Raw genomic sequence first — 22,642 nt, forward strand, 5'->3', positions numbered from 1 at the left:
GCATTCCCTTAAAGATATACTAGGTGTCCAGCCCTGTGTCCTGTGTTAGGAACAAACCCATGCATAAGACCTAGTCCATGCCCTTCAGGCACTCATGGACTGGTAAGAGAGAAAGACACATGCAATTTCAGTGCAATCTGCACCTGCAGAAAAGGCAGCATGGAGATCAAGGGCAAGTGCTGAGGCTGAAGGGCAGGGGCAGGAAGTGGTGGATGGCCTCCCTAAAGTAGGAAATGATGGCACCATACCCTGGGTCCACTGCAGGTGACTCCAACCCAGACCAGGCAGAGAGAGAGGATGGAGGAGGTAGGACCCGTTCCAGGTCAGGCAATGGAGGTACATTCCCATAAAAAGCATGAGGGTGCTTTCAGCAGAATCCAGCACCTCTGAAACCCAAAGTTGAATGACCACATAGCAGGGGTTTGCAATGATTAAACAGTAAAACCTTGACCTGCTACTGCCGGGGAGGGAACCAGTAGTGTCAGTCAGAAATGCCGTGATGTTGCATCTCTGTTGTTCATTGGAGAAATGTGTTTTCAGCCTGGACTGACTCTAAAAGATCTCCCTGCTGAAAGGCCAGGAGATGAAAAGCCCCCACTTATGTCAGTCACAACCCAGAGTGACTTTTCCCAGCTCAAACCATCCCCCAGCAGCAGTGTTTGTGTCACCCCCCAGCCCCACCTCTTTTAGGACAGTGACTCTCATCCTCCCACTCTCAACCTGTGTTCTGAATGGGAGCTGCTCTTCTTGTACCTGAGCCCAACTCCCTGACCACAGTGACTGTTGGGGGGTTGACAGCTGACCCAAGATTAGCCAATGGAGTCCTTTCAAACAAGAGAGGGGAGGGAGAAGACATTTTCTCTCTTGACATAAAACTACAACAAATGAAAGCCTGGAGCTCCCAGAGGCTATGATTCTGGCCTCGTGGGGAAGCCAACTTGAGAGGCTGAAGATGATTCACCGGGAAAAGCAGAGGACACATGAGCCAGCACAAGACGGAAAGAGAGAGAGAGAGTTTTGAGTCTCGTCTCTTTGAGTCCTTGGCTCTGGCTGTCCCTAAGGCTAAGCCAACACTGCCCTTCCCGCATTTGGCTGTATGAGTCAGTAAATATCACTACTGACACATCAGCTACTTGATACGAGGCTTCTCTTACTGGCAATCAAAGCCTAATATCCTTCCACCACACAACGCATGGAAGTGAAACATGAAAAGCTGATCATGTGCCCCCAGAGGGAGCGGGGCGGAGAGGTGCAGCCCCCAAGGGGAGTAGCAACATCAGAACAGCAGCCTTTCTCCTGCAGGGTGCTGCAAGGGTGCTGGAGGAAGAAACTCTCTCAAACAAAGCAACAGAGAAAGACCCTGGACTTGGCTTTGCATACTCACAAGCAAAGAACAAACCCCTTCTGCAAATAGTAAGGAGAGCTACGTTGACACAAGCTGGCACCAGCCATCCCCGCTTAGAAGAGGTGGGACTAGAACTGCATGCAGAAGGCAGACGGGAGCCTCCTAGGAGGGATCATTTAGGAAGAAGAGCAAATGAGATGGCACAACACAGCATGTGAGGCCAGGGCTGTCATCAGCCCCTAAGGAAGAAAAAGCAGAAATGTGTATTACAAGGATAATGCTTTTTGATTTAACTGGTAGAAAACTACAAAGAGTATTTAATCATTGTCAATAATCCTGTTGTCAACTTCATAAAGTTTTAAGTTGTGGAAGCCCCTCCAAACACCACTCCAAACCTCCCTTAATAATTGTAACCAAGATAGTGTGCCCAAGTCTGAATGTTGCTATTTCTCAGAGAATGTGGGTAGAAGGATTCCACGTGAATCAGAGGGGGACCCTTGTTCAGGAAGGGCTGCCAGAGGAGGCCTGGTCCACTACCACTACCGTTGTCCCTGGGCCCTCCTGACACAGTCATCTCTATCATACCTGAAAAGTGTCTGCAAATGAGGTCCCTCGGTGATCCCTCAAATCCACATCCCATTTATCAAGGATCTACTGGTCCTAGGCACTATTCTCGGAGCTGGGTACACAGCTGTGAATAAGACAACACAGTCCCTCTGTCCTCAGGGACTTCCATGACAGGTGGGAACACAAGCAATAAGCAAGGAAAATAAAGGAGCGAGGCAATTACAGAATGTAATAATTATACAAGATACTGTGACGCTCAGCATCTCATGGAGAGGAAATGGAGGCCCAGAGATGGGACAGGACTTGCCCGAGCAGAAGCAGCCCAACCCCCAACTGGTACAACCCAACTGTGTCTCCACCTCCGTCCTGTGGCCCTGGTAGCCCCACAGAGGCCCTATGGCTCTATCCAGAGAGGTCCAGTGCTCTTTTGGGCAACTTCTGGAAGGATACTCTATCTGCCTTTGTCTCTATTGCATCTGATACATGATCAGAGTAATCATATGTCTTGCTGTCTTAGGGACAGTCCTAGTTGATACCTGTTCTTAGAAGTAATTACTAATACAACCCACTTTCATTTACCCACTTTACCCCAGATTTGGATGGTAAATATTCATGGGGGACCTGGGTCTCTGGAGCATCTTGATGCCAGAATGAAGTGTTTGGTATATTCTTGAGATATTGCATAACACTACGAGTCTTGCTGCATTGTGCCTCAGAAAACCTTGGGGCCTGCCTCCCGGGGCACTGCCCAGCATCTGAGGGGCCTGGCAGAGGAGAAGGTATCCCCTTACATGCTTCTCCCTGGCTGATCCCACTTCTGATACCCTAAGCTGTGGCTCTGCCTTGCTAGTTAATCTTCGCCCCTTGCAAAGGATTTCTCCTGAAAACAGAGCTCACACTCATGGCACTAGAAGCTTCTGGAGAGAATCAGCCACATCCCCAGCACAAGGGAGCACCACTGTTTGCTGACTTGGAGAGGACACACAACATTCTTCAGGGAAATATATCTCAGGGAGGAGCCTGTGGTTCCCAATCAGACCCAAACACACATGTATTTTAAATGTCCACCTCCCTTCCCAAGAAAATGTGATGATGTTTGCCATGTGTATTGGGTTCCTGGCCTATTAGACCCCCTGACCTCCTGAGTTTCTGCCCCCGTAAGTGGTTTCTTGGGTCTCAGTCTCCTGGGCTAGAAGCCCTTCTCTATCCCAAAAATGACAAGTATGGTGCAGGTGCAGGTCTCCCATGATAGAATGATTTCAGATCAGGATGGACTCTCATGACCCAGTCTCTGTGACCAAAAATCCAGGCAGCCTGGCAAGATGATCCCTGAGCCAGGACACAGCCTGCATCTACCTGTGCATGCCCACTCCAAGCGCCAGACACACAGCTGGGCAGCAGCAGGCAGCCTCTTCATGCAAATTAAATAAAACAACCTTTTTATCTGTTGGCTGATTCCCTCTTTTGAAGAAATCAACTACAAATTCATTTTTCGGGAGAAGCAATTACGATGATTGATGGAATGTCAGGGAAAGGGAATCAAACAGAAGCCCAGAGGCCCGGGCTGGGGGTGGCTTCACGGGACAGGAGAGTGGGGACAGCTGCCTTTGGCTCCCATGCTGGCTGGCTCTCTCTTTCTCTCCATCTTCAGTGGGGTGGAGGGGGGGAGTGCTGTATAAAGGCGCCCCTCCCACCGTGGCTATGGTCTACTTTGACACTGTGAGAGGCAGTCAGAAAAGACACAGTAAGAGGTGTGGCTTGTATTCAATAGACCACAAGCACCTGCTGTGCTGGGCGCTTTCTAGGCATTATCTCCTTTTGTCTTCACAACTGCCCTGCAAAATCAAGCTTATTTTACCCATTTCACAGATGGAGAAACTGAGATGCATCCATTGATTTGCTCAAGATCATGCAGCTTTTAAAGGGGAGCAGAATTATGACCTAATCTTCATTCCACTGCAATATAAGCCCTTCCAAGGAAAGCGAGTTCAAGCTCAGAATCCTGGAGACTAGGTAGCCTATCCCCCCCTCACCCTGCCTGTTTCCACCTTGCAGATGCAGGAATAGAGGCTAACTGCAGGCCATGGCACTATCGTTAGAGAAATTCATCTGTTTATTCAATGAATAATAATCTACAGGGCCAAGCACTCTTTGAGGATGCAGGAGCTCCAAGTTCAGTCCAGGCTTCCACTTGCCAGCCTGGGGTTGGGAGACCTGGAGGGCAGGAAAATCCCATGGACTTGACACAGGACCCCACTGGAAGCCGAACTCCACGGCACTACCTGCAGTTGCAGCAGCACACATTGAATTCTCCGTCGAGCAGGTCTCTGTGCTGGTGATGATGCTGGCGCTGCCACCGCGGGGTGACTCACATGAGTCCTGTGGTGCCAGTCCAGAGCCAGGAGCCCCTGGCACTTAGGAAAGGGCCGAGCTGATAGCAGCGTCTGCCAGCTTGTCAGTTCTGCGGAAACCCTTCACAGAGATGGGTCTGGGCTTGGACTTCAAAGGCTCCTCTGGTAAAGACCTGCTAATTGCTTGAAACACGTTTTCAGTGAAGTGTGAATACTCTCTCTCCAAACCTCCCGTGAATTCCAGGAGAGCTCAAGCTAGAAGGAGCTAGGGAGGCTGTTCCCTTGCCTGCAGCTGGAGGGGAACTGGGAAGTCAAGGGCCAAACCCCACCTCCACCCTTTGACCGCAGGTGGAGGTCAAACTCCACCTCATCACTTGACTGGAGGGGAACTGGGAAGTCAAGGGCCAAACCCCACCCCCAACCCTTGCCTACAGCTGGAGGAGAACTGGGAAGTCAGGGGCCAAAACCCACCCCCATGCCTTGCCTGTAGCTGGAGGGGAACTAGGAAGTCAGGGGCCAAACCCCGCCCCCATGGTTCCACCTCCCAGTGGCTCCTGGGCACTAACCATCCCAGGAGAACTGAGGTGAAGCTGGCAGCCCAGGGAACTGCTAACCCTGGGGAAGTGGGGGACCACTCTCCTGATAGGGCAGCTCAGTGGACTGAGGGTTTGGGGCTCATTGCAGACTCCCCCCACCTTCAGATTACAAGGCTATGCAAAACAATAACAACTACATGAAGCTATGTGGCAGGTGCTGTTCTAAGTGTTGTACCCACTACACATTCCCACTCACCAGCATCCCTCCTGCACCCCATGACATAAGGATGACTATGGTGTCCCTTTTTAGAGCTAAGGACACTGAGGCATGAGGAGTTTAAGTAACTTGCCCATGGTCACATTCATCTAAACAGAGGAGACTGGACTAGACCTAGACACCTGGTAGCCTCTGCACAGGGTGCAGGAGATGAGGGTGGTTGTTGGGGGTTGGGGGGGCTGGGGCAGCACATAAAACATGAAAAGAAGCATGTGGCTGCAACTCCTCCTCCCTCCCCCATCCCAGGTCCCTGGCTGAGGGGTCAAGCAAGGCAGAGAAACTGAGACCAAGGAGAGAAGGAAGGCATTGAAGCCACATAGATCTGGGAACAAATATTACCAGCCAGGTGACTAGAAGATGTAAAGTAGCCTTCCTCTGACTCCATTTCCACCTCTACACAATGGAAATTACAATACCGACCAGCAAGGTTATTTTCAGGAGCTGAGCTAATCAGGCACTAGCATGACCCTGAGAGCAATGTCTCCTTAAATATTGTGCCTGAGGCATCTCATTAGTCTCTCCCTAGTCCTGGACCTGGAGATAATTATATGTTAAGATCCGAACCAGAAAACTCCTGACAAAAGTAGACAATAAATGAGCAAATAAATAAAAGAAAATGAACGAATAGTAGCAGAATTAATGATAGCCAGCTATCACTCATTCATTAATTTATGGTCTACTCTTATCCTGTGGGCACAGCAGTCACTGGGCTCTAGGATGAGCAAGGCACATGTGCTTGCTCTCCCAGCTTACTCTCTAGGGAGAAGCCCTGGGAAGCCAGGGAGACCCATCTCTGCCCCGTGCTGCCCAACCATGAGCTGGTCTGCTGCAAGCATTGGCCTCACACTGTTTTTCCTGGTCCTGCAGGTACCTGCCAGGTATCTCCATATGGGTGAGAGCTTCATTCCAGACAGGGACTTTAGCTTGGCAGAAAGATGCCCCTGGCCCTTGGTAGCTTCTTACCAAGCTCTTGACCAGCTCAGGACATGGCATCTCACACAGGGCATCTGAGGAAACCTGAAGCTGTCACTCAGCCTTCCACCTGGGATACATACAGCTCAAACTGAGTGCTCCTCAAAAGGCTGCAACCTGTCTTATAAATCCTATTCCCCAAAAGGAGGAGGGGAAATGAAAAAGGGGTGGAGGGAGGAGAGGAGAGAGGAGAACAACTTTCCCAGGGCTTCCTCTGCTAGTAAAGAAATAGCTAGAAGGTGTTTTGTTGCTAGCAGAGCAAGCCTTGGGAAAGTGGGATGAACTTGGTTGAAGAACGTTGTGCCCTGGAGATAAATATCAGAGATGGCACAGGGAATCCCCTCAGGCCGAAGGGGCTGCAGGCTTCCCACTCATTTCTGTAGTCCCCCAAGTGTTGGAATTTGAGAGGAAGCAGGAAATTGAGAGTTGCAAGATACCAGAGAAGAGGGGAGGGAAGAAGAAAAGAGGAGGGAGGAAGAGAGGGAAGAGAGTGTTCTCAGTTCTCTGGACTAAAGCCACAAGAGAGGCCAGAGCCAGATCAGAAGGGAAGAGAAATGGGGCCTTGGAGACTTGGGGTAAGGGTTGCTGGAGTTTTCCATTTCTTGCAGTCTCCCCTCATATTGCACCTCAGTCCTCCACCGCACCCCCTTCCCTGTGATCTCCCAAGGCCACTGAGTGTGGTGGTTAGGGGTTTGTGCTTTGGGGTCAGAGAGATGTGGGTCTATGTCAATTTCCTCATCTTTAAAATGGGAGAACAACCACCTTGACGTCTCAAGGCTGCTGGTATTTTCAGCGAGGTAATGTCTGCAGAGCTCTCAGTCCACACCTGGCAGAGGACACAGGAAGAGTCTAGCGAACAGTGGCTTGTGCCATCTTTATATTATGGTCTCTAGCAGTGGCTGAGCTGACCCTGGTGCCCTCTCAGAAGGGCCAGCTGCTGAGCCTGGTGGTAGCAAGGCAAGACCTAGAGAGGCTGCCCCAGCCATGCTGGCCTGTGGGCAGCAGGTGTGCCCAGCTGGCTCCACCCCTGGCCGTCGGCCACACTGTTCATTAAGCAAATGGCCCACAGTGGCCAATGATCACTGGAGCACAAGGGCGGACGCCTTTCTCAAGCAGGCCTCATCAAAGGCCGGTGTCGAGCTAATTTAATGATCTAAGTGGAACATATTTCTCCTGATGAGGCAGTTTCAATTGACTTGTATTGTCTCCAGATAAACAGTGGAATCACAGCAACTAGTTTCTGGACAAAGCACCAGTTTAGGGTAGAAGAAGCAGTGGAGTGGAGGTTGTGGGGAGTGAAGTGAGACTGGGCAGCTAGAGGGGGCCTGAGCCAGTCTCAAAGACCAGGCCTGGGGCCTCTGCCTGGTCAGGGATGGGCTCTCAGGCCTCTGGGTTTCGGCCAGGGAATGGAAAAACCCAAGTGTCAATCATAGGCTTTCAGACCTGGCAGAGACTTGCGACGTCATTTAGACTGATCCTGCAACATCGTTTAGACTGATCCTTCCTGCCAACAGATGGAAAGACACCGGAGATGTACAAGAGAATACAGATAGCTCAGAGTGTCTCTCAATTTAGAGGCACAATCTGAGCCTCCTGACTCAGGTAGGAAAAGGTAACCAATATTCTCCAGCACCTGGAGGCTTCAAAGGTTCTTTTGGTGTGTGTAATTTCATATGATCAGCACGCTGTCCCTGAGAGGATAGAATTGCTAGTCTTACTTCAGAATTGAGGAAACAGAAGCTCAGAGAGATTACGTGACTTTCCCAAGGTCACACAGCTGATGAATGGGGACTCTGGATGTTCTGCTCTTCCTACCACCTATGCTGGACAGGGAAGTGTCTTTCATTCCCATGGATCCCTGCAGATGAAGCCCTGTTGTGCTCCAAGGGGGACCTACGTTCTGGAGCATCCTGATTTCCCTAGGATGTCAAACTCCTGGCCCCCTCGGAAATCTCTGTCCAAGGTGAAGAGCCAGGGGACACCCATGAGAATGACTGACAGAAAGTGAGAGAGAAGGCAGAACTGCAAGAGGCAGCCCGAGGATATGCAGCCAGGATAGGGGCCAGGCCTGTGATCAGTGCAAAGCCAGGTGCCTGAAGTTCCTCCATTAAAGTTGAGGCCCAGGCCAGGGGACAGGAGAGCGATGGGTATCCAGAGCCTCCTGGGCAAGCCCTGACACCTGGAGCCTGGGGCTGGAGGCAGGACTGCACCAGGACAGAGCAGATGGGACACCTGGGACACCGGCCCTTGGTCTATGTGAGCACAGGTCGTGCAGTGCAGACTGGGGTCCTGGCCTTTGGGCAACCCAGGGTTCCTGGCTCCAGCAGGAGTCTGCAAGTGACCACTGGACCTTCCACAGGGACACGGAGCATTCAGTGGCTGCTTCAGGCTGCAGGAAGGATGCTCCAAGGGGCTGCTGGACAGCCCTTCTGGAGTGGGGCTATGGACACTCGGGCATGCCCATTATCAGGAAGGACTTGGGTAGTCTAGCCTGATCCTGGAACACACACTCCCCTCTGAAGGTGGCTCTCGCATGGGAAGGATCTATCTGGGTGGATAGCCTCACATTTGGCGAATAAGTAACAATACCACAAACAGTAATAATCATAGCGTCAGCCGCCACCCACACAACCCTTATGTTGTGCCAGGCCCCGTGCTAGCCCATGCACCTTCTCATTTCACAGATGAGGGATCGGAGGCAGAGGTGCATCCAATAACTCACCCATCATGGTGCTGCTCATACACGGCAGGGTTGAGATGCAAACCCTATTCTGTGAGACACAAAAACCAGGGCATCCAACTACCCCGACACTGTCTCCACCCCAACAGGCTGTCAGGTACCCCAGGAAGACCTGGACAATTTGATTTGTATTATACCCTCTACGGATCACTGGCTCAGAAGGGGTAAGAAAGGACAGAGAAGGAGAAAGAAACACATGTGAGATGAAAGCAGAGGAGAAGCCCAGATACTTGGGATTTGGACCGTGGAGTTTCTAAGATTGTAGCAGGAGGTGCTAGAGGAGGAGAAGGGAAAAGAGGACATGGGGGAAGGGAGAGAGGAGGCTCAAGGGGAGGAGAGGGACAAGCAGGAGGAAAACAACAGCTTCAGAAGGGATGGACCATCTGCTCCTGGCCCACTCCTGGGCCTGGTGTGTGCATTTCCGATCATGGTACCCAACTCACCCTCACATGCCTTTGTTTCATCCTCCTTCAACCTCACACCAGAAAATGCCACCTTCACACAGCCCTGGCATCTGCCCCTCCTCTTGCCCTGCCCCCATCACTACCTGCACCCAGGCCTGGCATCTCCCACCTGGACCACTGCCACCCCTCCACGCTGGTCTCAGCTGCCCACAATTCTGCCATCTTCTCCTTCCTGCAGCTCTCATCCCATCCGTCCTCTGCTCAAAAGCCTTCAGAGCCTGGCCACTGCTACAAAATCCAATCCAAATTCTTTACCCTAGAATTCAAGGCTCTTGGCAATTGGCCCCCACCTTCCTGCCCTCCCTTCCCTCTGCCTGTCAGGTTCTCCTCTCCCCGTGACCATGCCCTCTCCCTTCCTGGAGTCAGATTTCAGCTTACATGTCATCTTATCAGAGAAGATGTGGAAAGAGCTCACCCCCTCCAGTGAGCTCCTCACCCTTCCCCTCCTTTATTTTTCTTCAAAGCACTATCAGCAGCTGACATCTAATATGCTGCTATTTTCTATCCTCCTGCCCCCCCATGAAGCAGGATAGTTTTATCCAGAGCTGTAGCATCACAGCTTAGAGCCATGCCAGCCCCTCACAGCTCCTGATACTTGTTGAATGAGAGAATGACACCCCACCCCCTCCACAGTATGATACTTTGCTGCAGTGATCAGCGATGGTTCATGGCCATCTCCGTGGGTCACCCTCACTCTCTACACTTGCCTTTGCACTTTTGCTGACTTGAGAAACTTGACTCATCTCCAGGACCACCTCCTCCAAGCAGCCTCACTCCTTACCCCTGCCTCAGTCATAAGTTATTTGTAAAGGGGTGGTATTTCATCACTTGGCTGTCGGTTCTTTAAATAAGAATAAAAGGTTTGTGTCTCCCTTACTCTGCTCCCCCATGCAACACCTGGTATCAAACTGGGGCAGTACTAGGTACTCAGTACATATTTCTTGAGCACAGTGAAGAGAGAAGGAAAACTTGACCCAGGGGACATTTTTCTGAAACTTGCCTGCTCTGAAGCACACTCTAGGAAGGCTGACGCCCTACTATGTGCCAATGCTGGAGGAATTTCTACTGTGTGCCAGATCCTGTACTGGGAGAGGCCTACTACGTGCCAGGCTCCATGCTGAGAAAGCACCTCCTGTGTGCTGATCTGAGTTGGCTGAAGCCCTACTGTGTATAGATCTTGTTTGGATGAGCTTCTAAGATGGAGGGGGAACCTATGTGCCTGGCTTCCTGCTGACAGTGCACCTACTGTGTGCTAGGTCCTGAACAAGGCACTGAGCATCAAAGAAAGAGGCAACCCCTGCCTCCATGCACCTCACAATCAACCTGGGAAAATCAGAAAAAGGGAGAGGAAGGGTAAGAAGGAGAGCACAGGGGAGATTAATAATAACTACTTATTCTGGCAAATTATGAGCGCATGTAGGGCCATCTGTGCACACAGCTCCATGCCGGCTCCTCACCAGCAAGGCCCAGTGTAGGAACCCAGGTCAGCTCAGTTGGGCCTTCCAACAGCTTGTCAATGCCTGGGGGAAGGAGCGCCTGGCCTCCTTGTCTCCAGCCCTCCAGCCCTCCAGCCCACTGCCCGCCAGGTGGACAGGCAGGAGCTATTCTAAAAATATAGCTAAGGTTTGGCACAGGTGCTGTGGAGGCTGCCCCCTCCTGCCAGGTCTGAGCTGGCTGCTCCTCAAGCTAGAAGACGCTCAGGGACCAGGGCACCAAGCGCAGCTCCTGGGGACTCCCTGAGCAGGGGTCAAGGGCACTGCTGGGTGGCTCAGACTGCCTGGGAAGAAGGGCAGCACGCAGTCTATGGGGAGGCTGAAACAGGCCCCAGGGTGAAGGTGGGACCCAGGGAAAGGCCATCCAGGAGCACAACCCAGCCCTGCACTGTGGAACAGGCCCCAGGACCTGCCTGGCTCCACAAGAAAGCAAGAGACAAACTTGGGCCCTGGCCCCAGACACAGACCTGGTTCCTTTCTCAACTTCATCTTGATCTTGATCCAGACTGAACCTTGACCTTAAACTCTATTCTGATCTCTGATCCTAGCTCTACACTGAACCCTAGTTTTCATGGTGGCCTCCAGTCCCCCTACTGAAGCTACTAGAGGGCCCTCACTCTGTCTCTTTCAACTCTGGAACAGCCAAATGTGGACAGGGCTCTCCCCAAGAAGGCAGACCCACAGCTCACAGAGGGCTTTCAATCCCAACAGCCTGGAAAGAAAGCAAAAGAACATGTACTCAATAATAAAGTAATAAGAGCAATAATAACATCTTTATTGTGCTCTTATTGTGTACTTTGCATGTCTTTCTTTTCTTTCTTTTTTTTCTTTCTCTCTCTCTCTTTCTTTTTTTTTTTTTTTTTTTTTTTGAGTCTCGCTCTGTTGCCCCAGGCTGGAGTGCAATAGTGCAACCTTGGCTCACTGCAACCTCTGCCTCCCAGGTTCAGGTGATTCTCCTGTCTCAGCCTTCTGAGTAGCTGGGATTACAGGTGTGTGCCACCATGTCCGGCTAATACTTTTTGTATATTTATTAGAGACAGGGGGGTCACCATGTTGGCCAGGATGGTTTCGAACTTCTGACCTCAGGTGATCTGCCCACCTCGGCCTCCCAAAGTGCTGGGACTACAGGCATAAGCCACCACGCCTGGCCCTAATTCTTTTAATTCATATCACAACCCCACTTTACAGAGAAGAAACAGAGGCACAGAGTGGTCAAGCAACCTTCCCAAAATCTCACAGCTGGTAAATATCAGAGCCAGGATTTGAATCCAGGCCACCTGGCTCTAGAGTGTCTGTGTGTGGCCATCATACTGGAGTTGCTCTAAAAGTGTGCCAGATCTAGCTTCAGGGTACACACATACACAACACACACACAATACACATACACATGATCTCATTTTCTTTCTCAGAACAATGCTATGAAAATGACTTTATTACCCCAGTCCTAGAAGTGTAGAAATTGGAACTCTGGAAAAGAAGTGGCTTGCCAAAGATAGCACAGCTGAGACACGATCAAATTGGCATTCAAACTCAGATTTTTAAATATAATCATTCCTGCTCACAAAATGCATGTCCATTGAATAACATAAAGAAGTTAACAACATTTATAAATGCACCATCCAGAAAAAGCACCTTTAGTATTTTGGTAGAGGTCTTTCCAGGCTTTTCTCCATTTATAAAATAATATTTTTCCAATAAAATGTGGATGCTCCATAATTTATTTGACAAATCCTAACAGATTGGCAGTTAGGTTGTGGCCAATGTTTAAGCCCATCTTTCCACACTCCCAGACAAATCAGATTTCAGGAAGATGAAGCTGGAATGGCCTTTGGACAACATGCTCTGGGCTTGGCTAAGCCAGTCTTTGGCTGTGCAGACGGTGGGGTGACACAGCAGAGGCACAGAGACTGTGGCCCAATTGGTACCCACATCCTGCTGCACAACTTGCTTTGGTAAAGGCAAGAGGCTACATGCGATTTATCTGTTTGTTTATTCTTAGAAACTGTCTTGTTGAGAACTTGATGTTTTCTGTGCAGCTGAGCAGAACTGTGGCTTTGGAGGTTCATGATTTGCGCGGGAGCTGATCTCGTGAGTGATCACATGCTGTCACCCTACCAATTCTACACTCACTCCCCTGGGATGATAGAAGCCTCTGAAGTTACAGCAACGGGGAGCGGAGGGTCTGGAGTGGGGCAGGAGGGTTTGGGGTGGGGCATGATGCAGCCTCTGCTGCAGACTGGGGCCCCAGGTTTTTCTAAATGTTAGCAGAGTTAGGGTGGAACAAATGTGCTCAGACCCAAAGGGAAATTTTCCCAGAGCAGGGCCCAGGAAAGGAGAAGGTCTGGAGCATGCAAATGACCTTTGTCTTTCTGGCTTTGTAGAGGAGCTGGCTGGGCCAGGAGGCCAAGCTGTTCAGTGTCACCTGCTGCAGAAGCTTACAGCAGGGGGCTGGACATTAGAGTCCTCTGAGGGTCAGGACATGTGAGCAGAGACTGAGACTAGTGACTCCAAGTCTGGCAGCACCCTCTGAAGGGAAGGACCAACAGAATGCCGGACTCAGGGTGAAGAAGAGTGATCACGATCAAGGACAATACCAGCAAGGGACAGCAAATACTTAGGGGTCCTTGGGCCGAAATCTAGGACATGTGGAAGAAGGGACAGCAGATGCCCTGGGGTCTTTTGTTTCTCCTTCCTTCTCCTTTGTCTTCTTCCCACTGCACACTTGGGGGGTGGCCACGTGACTGCTGGGGGACCAAGTGGCCAGAGCCCAAGGCCCCCTCTCCTCGGCAGCATGGCTTCTGTCCTACTTATGTCGAACTGGCAATGCTGGTCGCATGCAGATTAATGAGGCCACGGCTGAGGCCCTGCATTGGGGGACTGGCCTTGTTTCTAGGTGACCAGGTACTTGAGCCTAAATTAACTTTGACTACCCTTTGTGCTCTCCCCCTTGGGCAGGGCAGCAGGAAAATAATGGGGGAGAAAGAAGAGAAGGTGAGGAAGAGGAGGAATAAAAGGGGGAGGGAGAAGGAGAAGAGGATGAAAGGGGCTGAGGAAGACGAGGAGGAGGGAGAGGAGAGGGCAGAAATGGGGGGAACAGGGAAGAAGCAGAGAGAAGGAGGTTGGAGGGCGGAGGGGCGGGAGGACCACAGGAGGCAGGGCAGGTAGAGGGCAGCTGCCCCATGCTCTGCCCACTCTGCCAAACAGCCAGGGCCTCTGCCAGGTGGGTTCTGTCTTGTGGGGAGGAGCATCGAAGGGAAATGAATGTTCCTGCCAGTCAGCCACCTCAGCCCACAGACTGTCAGCACAGGGCCTGCCCGGCTTTGCAGATGCAGAAACAGGGTCAGCAAGGGAATGTGATTTTCCCAAAGTGACAGGGAGTGGGGATGACTGGAACACAGGCCTCCTGATTCCCTGTCCAGTGTTCTTTCTGCTGTACAATACGTACCACTCAGCCACGAGAGCCTACTCATCCCTCAAAACCCTACTCAAAGAGCCCTTCCTCCATGGTGTCTCCTCAGGGCCCACGATGTCCGTTAGGGCCTCCTCCTGACCACTGTCTTCAGTCCCCTCCCCTCTGGACTGAGCTGTCATCCAGGCAGCAGCTGTGATGATCCCATCTCTGTGCCTCTGTTCCCAGCACAGGGCCTCTGCACAGAGCAGGTGCTGAATGAATGAATGAATGAATGAGAGTAAATAGGATCAGTCAAATCTGGATGTGAACCTCCAGACCACCTCTCTCATTAGTTTTGTGACCACTAGTGAGTTTCTTCACTTCTCTGGTCCTCAGTTTTCTCATCTCTAAAGTGGATCCCTGACAGGGTTGGAAAATAAGTTACATAATGCAATCCTTCATTTACACACATAATGAACACGCACTGTGTGCCAGCAGGCTCTGATGGGTGCCGGGTCAACAGTGGGGAGGAACTTGCCTCCAGGGAGCTTAGAGTTTGGTGGGGCAAACAGATAATGAGAAAGCATATGAATGAATGAATGAATGAATAAATGACTATTCCATTGTGATAAGTGCCAGGAAGGAAAAGCCAAAAGGAGATGATAGGGAATACTGGGTGTTGGGGGGTCTAATTTATACATGGTGTTCAGGGAAGGGTTCTTCAAGGTGAGAACACTTGAAGCCAAATCTGGAGGAGAGGGAACGAGCTATGTGCCTGAGAGAAATGCTCCAGGTAGAGGGAACAGCACGTGCAACACTTGTACAAGGCAGCTGACAGGGAGAATCAGCATCACCATCAGGGTGTCCATGCTGTGTCCTCCGAAGGGCTCTGCAGGCTGACCCAGGACTACTTGGGTGAGGAGGAGCGGGAGGAGGAGGAAGAGACTGTGCTCAAGTGCCCTTTACTCATGCATTCATTCAGCACACGTCTGTTGGGCTCCATGTCTGTGCAGACACAACACTTCACTGCTAGCACTGAGGACAACGTGTGGACAGCCCTGTCCTTGCCCCTCCCCCTGCCCCTGCCTCATAGCACTTAGTCAGGAGGAGCTGCCCTTGGGCTCTGGCAAGTGCGGAGCGTTCCCAGCTTGAGCAGAACAGATGGCAAGAGGACCTGGCCTGGCACAGGTAGAGGGCAAGAGGAGTGAGGTCCAAGGGGGCCTCCCTGCAGATATGCTGTTGAGCCGAGACCTGCAGGATAAAGGAGTTAGTGTGCCAAGTGAAGGGCAGGAGTCATCCTAAAAGCAATGGTGAGCTATTGATGGCTTTAAGCAGGAGAGTGCCATGATCAAAATTGTAGATCTCACATGTGGAACAGATTGAAGGGTGAGGGCTAGGGCATACGTAAGGAGAAGAGCTTAGGTGGTGATGACAATGGCCTAGGGCAGGCTGCTGGCAGACAGAAGAGGGCTTGGGTATGCTTAGGTGGTGAATCTGCACAATGGGGCCATGGACCAGGCAGGGGAAAGGAAAGGTGACTAGGAAGGAGTCGGTAGGGACCCCACAGGTTTCCAGCTCACGGAAGTGGCACCCGAAGGTGCCAGCTGGGGCTGAGTGCCTTTGAGATGTCCAAGCAGAGATGCAGGGCAGGTGGTGAGAGATGCTCAGAGGGGATGCTCACACAGGCTTCACTCGCTCCGCAGCAATCAAAGCATGGCCCTGAAGAAGCTCCCCTGGAGGGGAAGCACAGAGGGGGCCCTCAAATCAATGGCTTGATTGAGGGAAGCTGCCGGGAAAGGACAATTAGAGGGCAGAGGACCCCCAGCCCCTGTCTCCCAAGGGTACTGCCCCTGCAGTCAGACTGCCCTTGGCCTCCTTCCTTCGTGCCAGCTGAGCCAAGCTCTGATGATGGGAAACCGTTAGTCCTAAGAGGAAAGGGATCTACTAGGTGCAAGGGGTCAAGGGGGACGAAGGGCATCCTTTCCGCTGGGGAACCAGATGAGGGGCTGTGCCAGGGACTCTCAAAGACAAGAATGCTTCTCAGGGTGAGATAGAGGGGGGCATTCCTGTTGGGAAGCTCTCACCCCTCACCAAGCTCACCTCTCTCTAGCACACCTTACATCTGAGCTCCAGGATCTTGCCACTGCACTAGCCTAAGACGTCTTGGAATGCTGGCCCATGATTACCCCTGCTGCCTCTCCTGGAGCCCAGCACACAGCCTCAGCATCAGAGGACTTGCTCAGTGAAGAGTCACGGAATGCCTTTCAGTAGAGGAAGCCACATGCCAATCAGAGCAGCCAGAAAGGTCATCTGCGGGAGAAGTGAGAGTGGCCTGGAGGAGGCCCCCGACCCTGAAGGCCAACAGAAAGCATGTGGGGAGCCACTCCAGGGTTCTGGGCAAGGCAGCATTGTGTGGCATGTGTGGGTCTCCAGGACTCTTGGGGTGGGGACGGGGGCTGAGGCCAGCAGCAGGAGCACAGGTAGCACATGTCTGTGTTCCAAAGGACAGGTCCCTGAGGTTCCCCTGATTACTGTAAGGAGGCTGGGGAAAGAGTGTGCATGCACATACATATGCATACACAGGTCCACACACACGCAGAGAAGCACATGTGTACACACCTGTGCACGCACAAGGACACACACATGCATAGACAAATCACAGAAAAAAACCAGCTACAGACACATGAGTTCAGGCCACAGAAAGGTGCCCTTCCTCACACAAGTATAAGTGCATAGTGGGCAAGTGCCTGCAGGTGTGGACCCAGGGACACATGCCTGTGTGTACCCACCTGTGCACATGCACGTTCACACACACGAACACACACACACAGGTCCATAGGAGCCCTGGGTAAGGGCCTATTCCTTTGAGAACAGGCAGGAAGCCCAAGCCAGCTCTACATTGGATGGTGGTGCTATAAGTGGTGTCAGGGTGGTAGACAGAGGCCTCAGCCACATGGGCCTCCAACCCCAAGCAGACTTCAGCAGTGAGGGGCCACCCCAGAGTGGGTCCTGAGCTCACTGATTTGCTGAGGCTCAGATGAGCAGCCCGCCAGCCAGCTGCTTCCCCTCCTGAAATAGCAGCCCTAAATAAGTGACAGCCCACCTGGCTAAGGGTAGGGCCTGGCATGGCTGTCATCAACCCTGCCAGCAGGACAGGAAGGGGCAGGTGTGGGGCGGTGGGGTACAGGGGCTGGGCCTGACCCAACACCACCCAAACTGTGCTTCCCCGTCCACACACCGAGCAGCGCACACGTGCACACAAACACGTGGATGGATACACAGAGGCTGACAGGCACACTCACAGCACCCAACACACAGTGGAACACAGGCACTGAGTCACAGGCCCTCTCTGGGAGGCCCCGCACATCACTCAAACCCAGAACCACAGACACAGCACACACAGACATACCCCCGCCCCCGGAGAACACGCATGCACACACAGGCTGCCCTGCTCCATACAAACACAGGGCACATGCACATACATTCACACACAAGCATATCTGGACAGCTGCAGCCAAGCATACTGAACAGGCTACCTCAAGCACTCACACATGTGAACACAACAACAGAAGGCTCAGAAACACCCTGGCACATGCTGTGTAGACAAAGACACAACCAGCACACCAAGGCGTTCAGGACCAGACACACTTGCACACATTCACGCAAGTGCTCATGCACACATCCAGAGTGTCTGTGGCCTTTCTGACTCACAACCTCATCCCTGTCAGTAAGGATCCCCCGCTGGCCACCAGGGCCAGGGTCTGGTGTTTTGGCTGGCCAGCCATGGCCTGTGGCCAAGGCCTTCTTAACAAAGGCTCGGCATCAGACCAGATTCTCAGAACTGGTAGGTGACGGTGAGGAAGACAAGGTTCTTGGTGACACCTCCTCCTGCAGGCCTCCAGGCTCCACCAACAGCCAGAGCGGGGCCTGTGGGGGCTTCAGTGGCTCAGTGGGGGAGGAGTCCTGAGCCGTGGGGTGCTCGGCCTGGGGGACGGCAGGCCCTAGAACTCTGCTCCCCGCCCTTTTCAACATCATCCTCTCCCCTTCTCAGACTAAGCCAGCAAATGGCTGAGCCAGGGAAGCAAGAGAGGGGAAGAGGCCCTTGGAAGACAGGGCTGAGGGTGGGAAGCAGGCAGCGTGATTGGTAGGAAGGGGTGGCCACCTTGGCTGGGGACTGGGCCAAGGTGCTGCATAGGCAGAAGCCCAGAAGAGAAAGTTACTTAGGAAGATGAAATGACTCAGGGCAGCATCTCACCAGCAGCCATTTAAATGACTCAAAGCCTCATCGTGAAACTGCCACAATTTACCCAGACGGCAGCATTCCGCATGCCCACCGGAGAGGGAAAAACCCGCTAACTCCTTCCACGCTGGTGTGTGGGCAGCCAGGCTTCCCAGCTCCCAAGAAAACAGCTGCCCAGGGCCATGTCCACCCCACACCACTCTCGACCATCACATGCCATGGCCAAGCTGAATCCTTGCAAGGCTTCCAAAGAACTGAGAGAGGCGGACCCTGAGCCCAGCATCCTTGGGAAGGTGAGGGGAGCACAGAACAAAAGCCCCCGAGGTGCACAGGAAACATTTCAGGTGAAATGAGACAAAGGCAGTGGGGAAGTATGAAGCCAGACTGGCCCCGGGCCAACAATTGACTCTGGGGGATGAACACATGGTACTTACTGTTCTATTCTCTCTACTCTGGCATATTTTGAAAATTTGAAAATTTTTCTGAAATAAAACATTTTTTAAAAAGCTTTGTGTCCTCTGTTTTACAGAGAGCAGTCATTCATTGTTCGTTCACTTACCCATGCATTCATTCACTGTCCTGTGAGTAAAGCACTCTGTCTCCACCCGCATCACTCTGGGCGATGCCCAGCACCCAAGGGAGACCAGGAGCAAGACCCCCTCTGCTGGAGCAGGCCACAGAGCAGGAGGCTTCGGCAGATGCCACACAGCTATGGAAACGGAGGCTCTGACAAACAGCCTCCAGAATAAGGCTGGGCTGAGTCCTGAACCCTCATCAGATTGGCTGATTGGGGGCCTGTGCTCTTATCAATAGAGAGAGAGGGACATGTGTTTACTGCAGGGAACTTTCCACAGCAGGTGGGAGTGTGATCCTGAGGAGCTTCCATGAGCCTCTGTGCTCTGTGAGCCTACCTGTTCTGTGAGTCTGTGTGCCCCACGAGCCCGTGTGCCTCATGACTTTGTGCCCCGTGAGCCTGTGTACCCAGTGAGCCTATGCCCCCTGAGTCTGTGCCCTGTGAGCCTGTGTGCTCTGTGAATCTGTGCCCCGTGAGCCTGTGTGCCCCATGAGCCTCTGTGCTCTGTGAGTCTGTGCCCTGTGAGCCTATGTGCTCTGTGAGTCTGTGCCCCGTGAGCCTGTGTGCCCCATGACTCTGTGCCCCATAAGCCTGTGTGCCCCGTGTCCTGTGCCCCGTGAGCCTGTGTGCTCTGTGAGTCTGTGCCCTGTGAGTCTCTGTGCCCCGTGAGCCTGTGTGCCCTGTGACTGTGCCCCGTAAGCCTGTGCCCCATGAGCATCTGTGATCTGTGAGTCTGTGCCCCGTGACTCTGTGCCCCATGAGCCTGTGTGCCCCGTGAGCCTGTGTGCTCTGTGAGTCTGTGCCCCATAAGCCTGTGTGTCCTGTGAGCATGTGTGTCCCATGAGTCTGTGCCCCGTGACTCTGTGCCCAATGAACCTATGTGTCCCGTGAGCCTGTGTGTCCCATGACTCTGTGCCCCGTGAGTCTGTGTGCCCCGTGACTCTGTGCCCCTGAGTCTGTGTGCCCTGTGAGTCTGTGCCCCGTGAGCCTGTGTGCCCCATGAGCCTGTGTGTCCCATGACTCTGTGCCCCGTGAGTCTGTGTGCCCCATGACTCTGTGCCCCCTGAGTCTGTGTGCCCGGTGAGTCTGTGCCCCATGAGCCTGTGTGCTCTTTGAATCTTTGCTCCGTGAGCCTGTGTGCTCTTTGAATCTGCGCCCTGTGAGCCTGTGTGCCCCGTGAGTCTGTGTCCCATGAGTCTGTGTGCCCCGTGACTCTGTGCCCTGAGTCTGTGTGCCCTGTGAGTCTGTGCCCCTGAGTCTGTGTGCCCTGTGAGTCTGTGCCCCGTGAGCCTGTGTGCCCCGTGAGCCTGTGTGTCCCATGACTCTGTGCCCCGTGAGTCTGTGTGCCCCATGACTCTGTGCCCCCTGAGTCTGTGTGCCCGGTGAGTCTGTGCCCCATGAGCCTGTGTGCTCTTTGAATCTTTGCTCCATGAGCCTGTGTGCTCTTTGAATCTGCGCCCTGTGAGCCTGTGTGCCCCGTGAGTCTGTGCCCCGTGACTCTGTGCCCCGAGTCTGTGTGCCCTGTGAGTCTGTGCCCCCTAAGTCTGTGTGCTCTGTGAGTCTGTGCTCCATGAGTCTGTGCCCCATAAGCCTGTGTGTCCCGTGAGCCTGTGTGCCCTGTGAGTCTGTGCCCTGTGACTCTGTGCCCTGTGAGCCTATGTGTCCTGTGAACCTGTGTGCCCTGTGAGCCTGTGTGCCCTGTGACTGTGTGCCCAATGAGCCTGTGTCCCGTGAGCCTGTGTGCCCTGTGAGTCTGTGCCTTGTGACTCTGTGCCCCATGACTCTGTGCCCCGTGAGCCTGTGTGTCCCATGAACCTGTGTGCCCTGCGAGCCTGTGTGCCCTGTGACTGTGTGCCCAATGAGCCTGTGTCCCGTGAGCCTGTGTGCCCTGTGAGTCTGTGCCTTGTGACTCTGTGCCCCATGAGCCTGTGTGTCCTGTGAGCCTGTGTGCCCTGTGAGTCTGTGCCTTGTGACTCTGTGCCCCATGAGCCTGTGTGCCCTGTGAGCCTGTGTGCCCTGTGAGCCTGCACCCCATGAGCCTCTGTGACCTGTGAGTTTGTGAGTCTGTGCCCCGTGACTCTGTGCCCCATGAGCCTGTGTGCCCTGTGAGTCTGTGTGCCCTGTGAGCCTGCACCCCATGAGCGTCTATGACCTGTGAGTCTGTGAGTCTGTGCCCCATGACTCTGTGCCCCATGAACCTGTGTGTCCTGTGAGCCTGTGTGCCCTGTGAGCCTGTGTGTCCCATGACTCTGTGTCCCGTGAGCCTGTGTGCCCTGTGAACCTGTGTGCCCCATGACTCTGTGTCCCATGACCTGTGTGTCCGGTAAGTCTGTGCCCCGTGAGCCTGTGCCTGTGAGCCTGTGCCCTGTGAGCCTCTGTGCCCCATGACTCTGTGTGCCCGGTGAGCCTGTGTGTCCCGTGAGCCTGTGTGCCCTGTGAGTCTGTGTGCCCTGTGAGCCTGCACCCCATGAGCCTCTGTGATCTGTGAGTCTGTGAGTCTGTGCCCCGTGACTCTGTGCCCCATGAGCCTGTGTGGCCCCTGACTCTGTGCCCTGTGAGCCTGTGTGCCCTGTGACTGTGTGCCCTGTGAGCCTGTGTGCCCTGTAAGCCTGGGTGTCCCATGACTGTGTGCTCCATGAGCCTGTGTGCCCCATGACTCTGTACCCCATGAGCCTGTGTGCCCCGTAACTCTGTGCCCTGTGAGCCTATGTGTCCCATAAGCTTGTATGCCCTGTGAGTCTGTGTGCCCTGTGACTCTGTGCCCCTTGAGCCTGTGTGCTTTGTGAGTCGGTGTGTCCCATGAGTCTGTGCGCCCCATTGAGTCTGTGTGCCCTGTGAGCCTGTGTGCCCTGTGAGCCTGTGTACCCCATGACTCTGTGCCCCATGAGCCTGTGTGCCCTGTGAGTCTGTGTGCCCTGTGAGCCTGTGTGCCCCATGAGCCGTGTGCCCCATGATTCTGTGCCCCATGAGCCTGTGTGCCCTGTGAGCCTGTGTGCCCCATGACTCTGTGCCCTGTGAGCCTGTGTGCCCTGTGAGTCTATGCCCCATGAGCCTCTGTGCCCCGTGAGTCTGTGTGCCCCATAAGTCTGTGTGCCCCGCGAGTCTGTGTGCCCTGTGAGCCTGTGTGCCCTGTGAGCCATGTGCCCCATGACTCTGTGCCCCATAAGCCTGTGTGCTCTGTGAGTCTGTGCCTCGTGAGCCTGTGCCCCTTGAGCCTGTGTGCCCTGTGAGCCTGTGTGCCCTGTGAGTCTGTGCCCCCGAGCCTCTGTGACCCATGAGCCTGTGTGCCCTGTGAGCCTGTGACCCATGAGTCTGTGTGCCCTGTGACTCTGTGACCCGTGAGCCTGTGACCCATGAGCCTGTGTACCCCGTGACTCTGTGCCCCATGAGCCTGTGTGACCCGTGAACCTGTTTGCCCCATGAGCTTGTGTGCCCTGTAAGCCTGTGTGGTCTGCAATTGCAGCTCCGGTATTTAACGCAGTACTTGGCACCTGTACTTACTCAATAAACATCACTGGGTGAATGGAAGTTAGAGGCCAGTGGGGTACTGGAAGCCCCTGGAGAAAGCAGGGGACACTGGGAACAGAGTGAGGCATGTGAAGGGACCTGGGATGGCTAAGCAACCGCCTCTAGGCACGGGGTCCACTCCTGGGCTGGGCCCATGTTCTTCTGGCCCACTTCAGAGTCTCTGA

At 53.4% G+C, this 22,642-nt stretch overlaps 1 protein-coding gene across 1 annotated transcript in view, besides 2 other annotated features; it reads right to left on the reverse strand.

Annotated features, from left to right (window-relative positions):
• GRIK3 (glutamate ionotropic receptor kainate type subunit 3) overlaps window positions 1-22,642 on the reverse strand; it is a 238,989-nt gene that overhangs the window by 142,457 nt on the left and 73,890 nt on the right. The gene's annotated exons all lie outside the window — the stretch shown is intronic.
• Window positions 3,457-4,352: an enhancer, noted in NCBI's record as "NANOG-H3K4me1 hESC enhancer chr1:37407041-37407936 (GRCh37/hg19 assembly coordinates)". NCBI's record gives its function as "activates a minimal SCP1, AML or CMV promoter by ChIP-STARR-seq in primed H9 embryonic stem cells {active_cell/tissue: H9 hESC(primed)}" and the evidence as "EXISTENCE:reporter gene assay evidence [ECO:0000049][PMID:30033119]".
• Window positions 20,945-21,511: an enhancer, noted in NCBI's record as "H3K27ac-H3K4me1 hESC enhancer chr1:37424529-37425095 (GRCh37/hg19 assembly coordinates)". NCBI's record gives its function as "activates a minimal SCP1, AML or CMV promoter by ChIP-STARR-seq in naive and primed H9 embryonic stem cells {active_cell/tissue: H9 hESC(naive and primed)}" and the evidence as "EXISTENCE:reporter gene assay evidence [ECO:0000049][PMID:30033119]".

This window comes from Homo sapiens, chromosome 1 (assembly GCF_000001405.40).
Source record: "Homo sapiens chromosome 1, GRCh38.p14 Primary Assembly".
In the NCBI taxonomy this organism is placed as follows: Eukaryota; Metazoa; Chordata; class Mammalia; order Primates; family Hominidae; genus Homo; species Homo sapiens.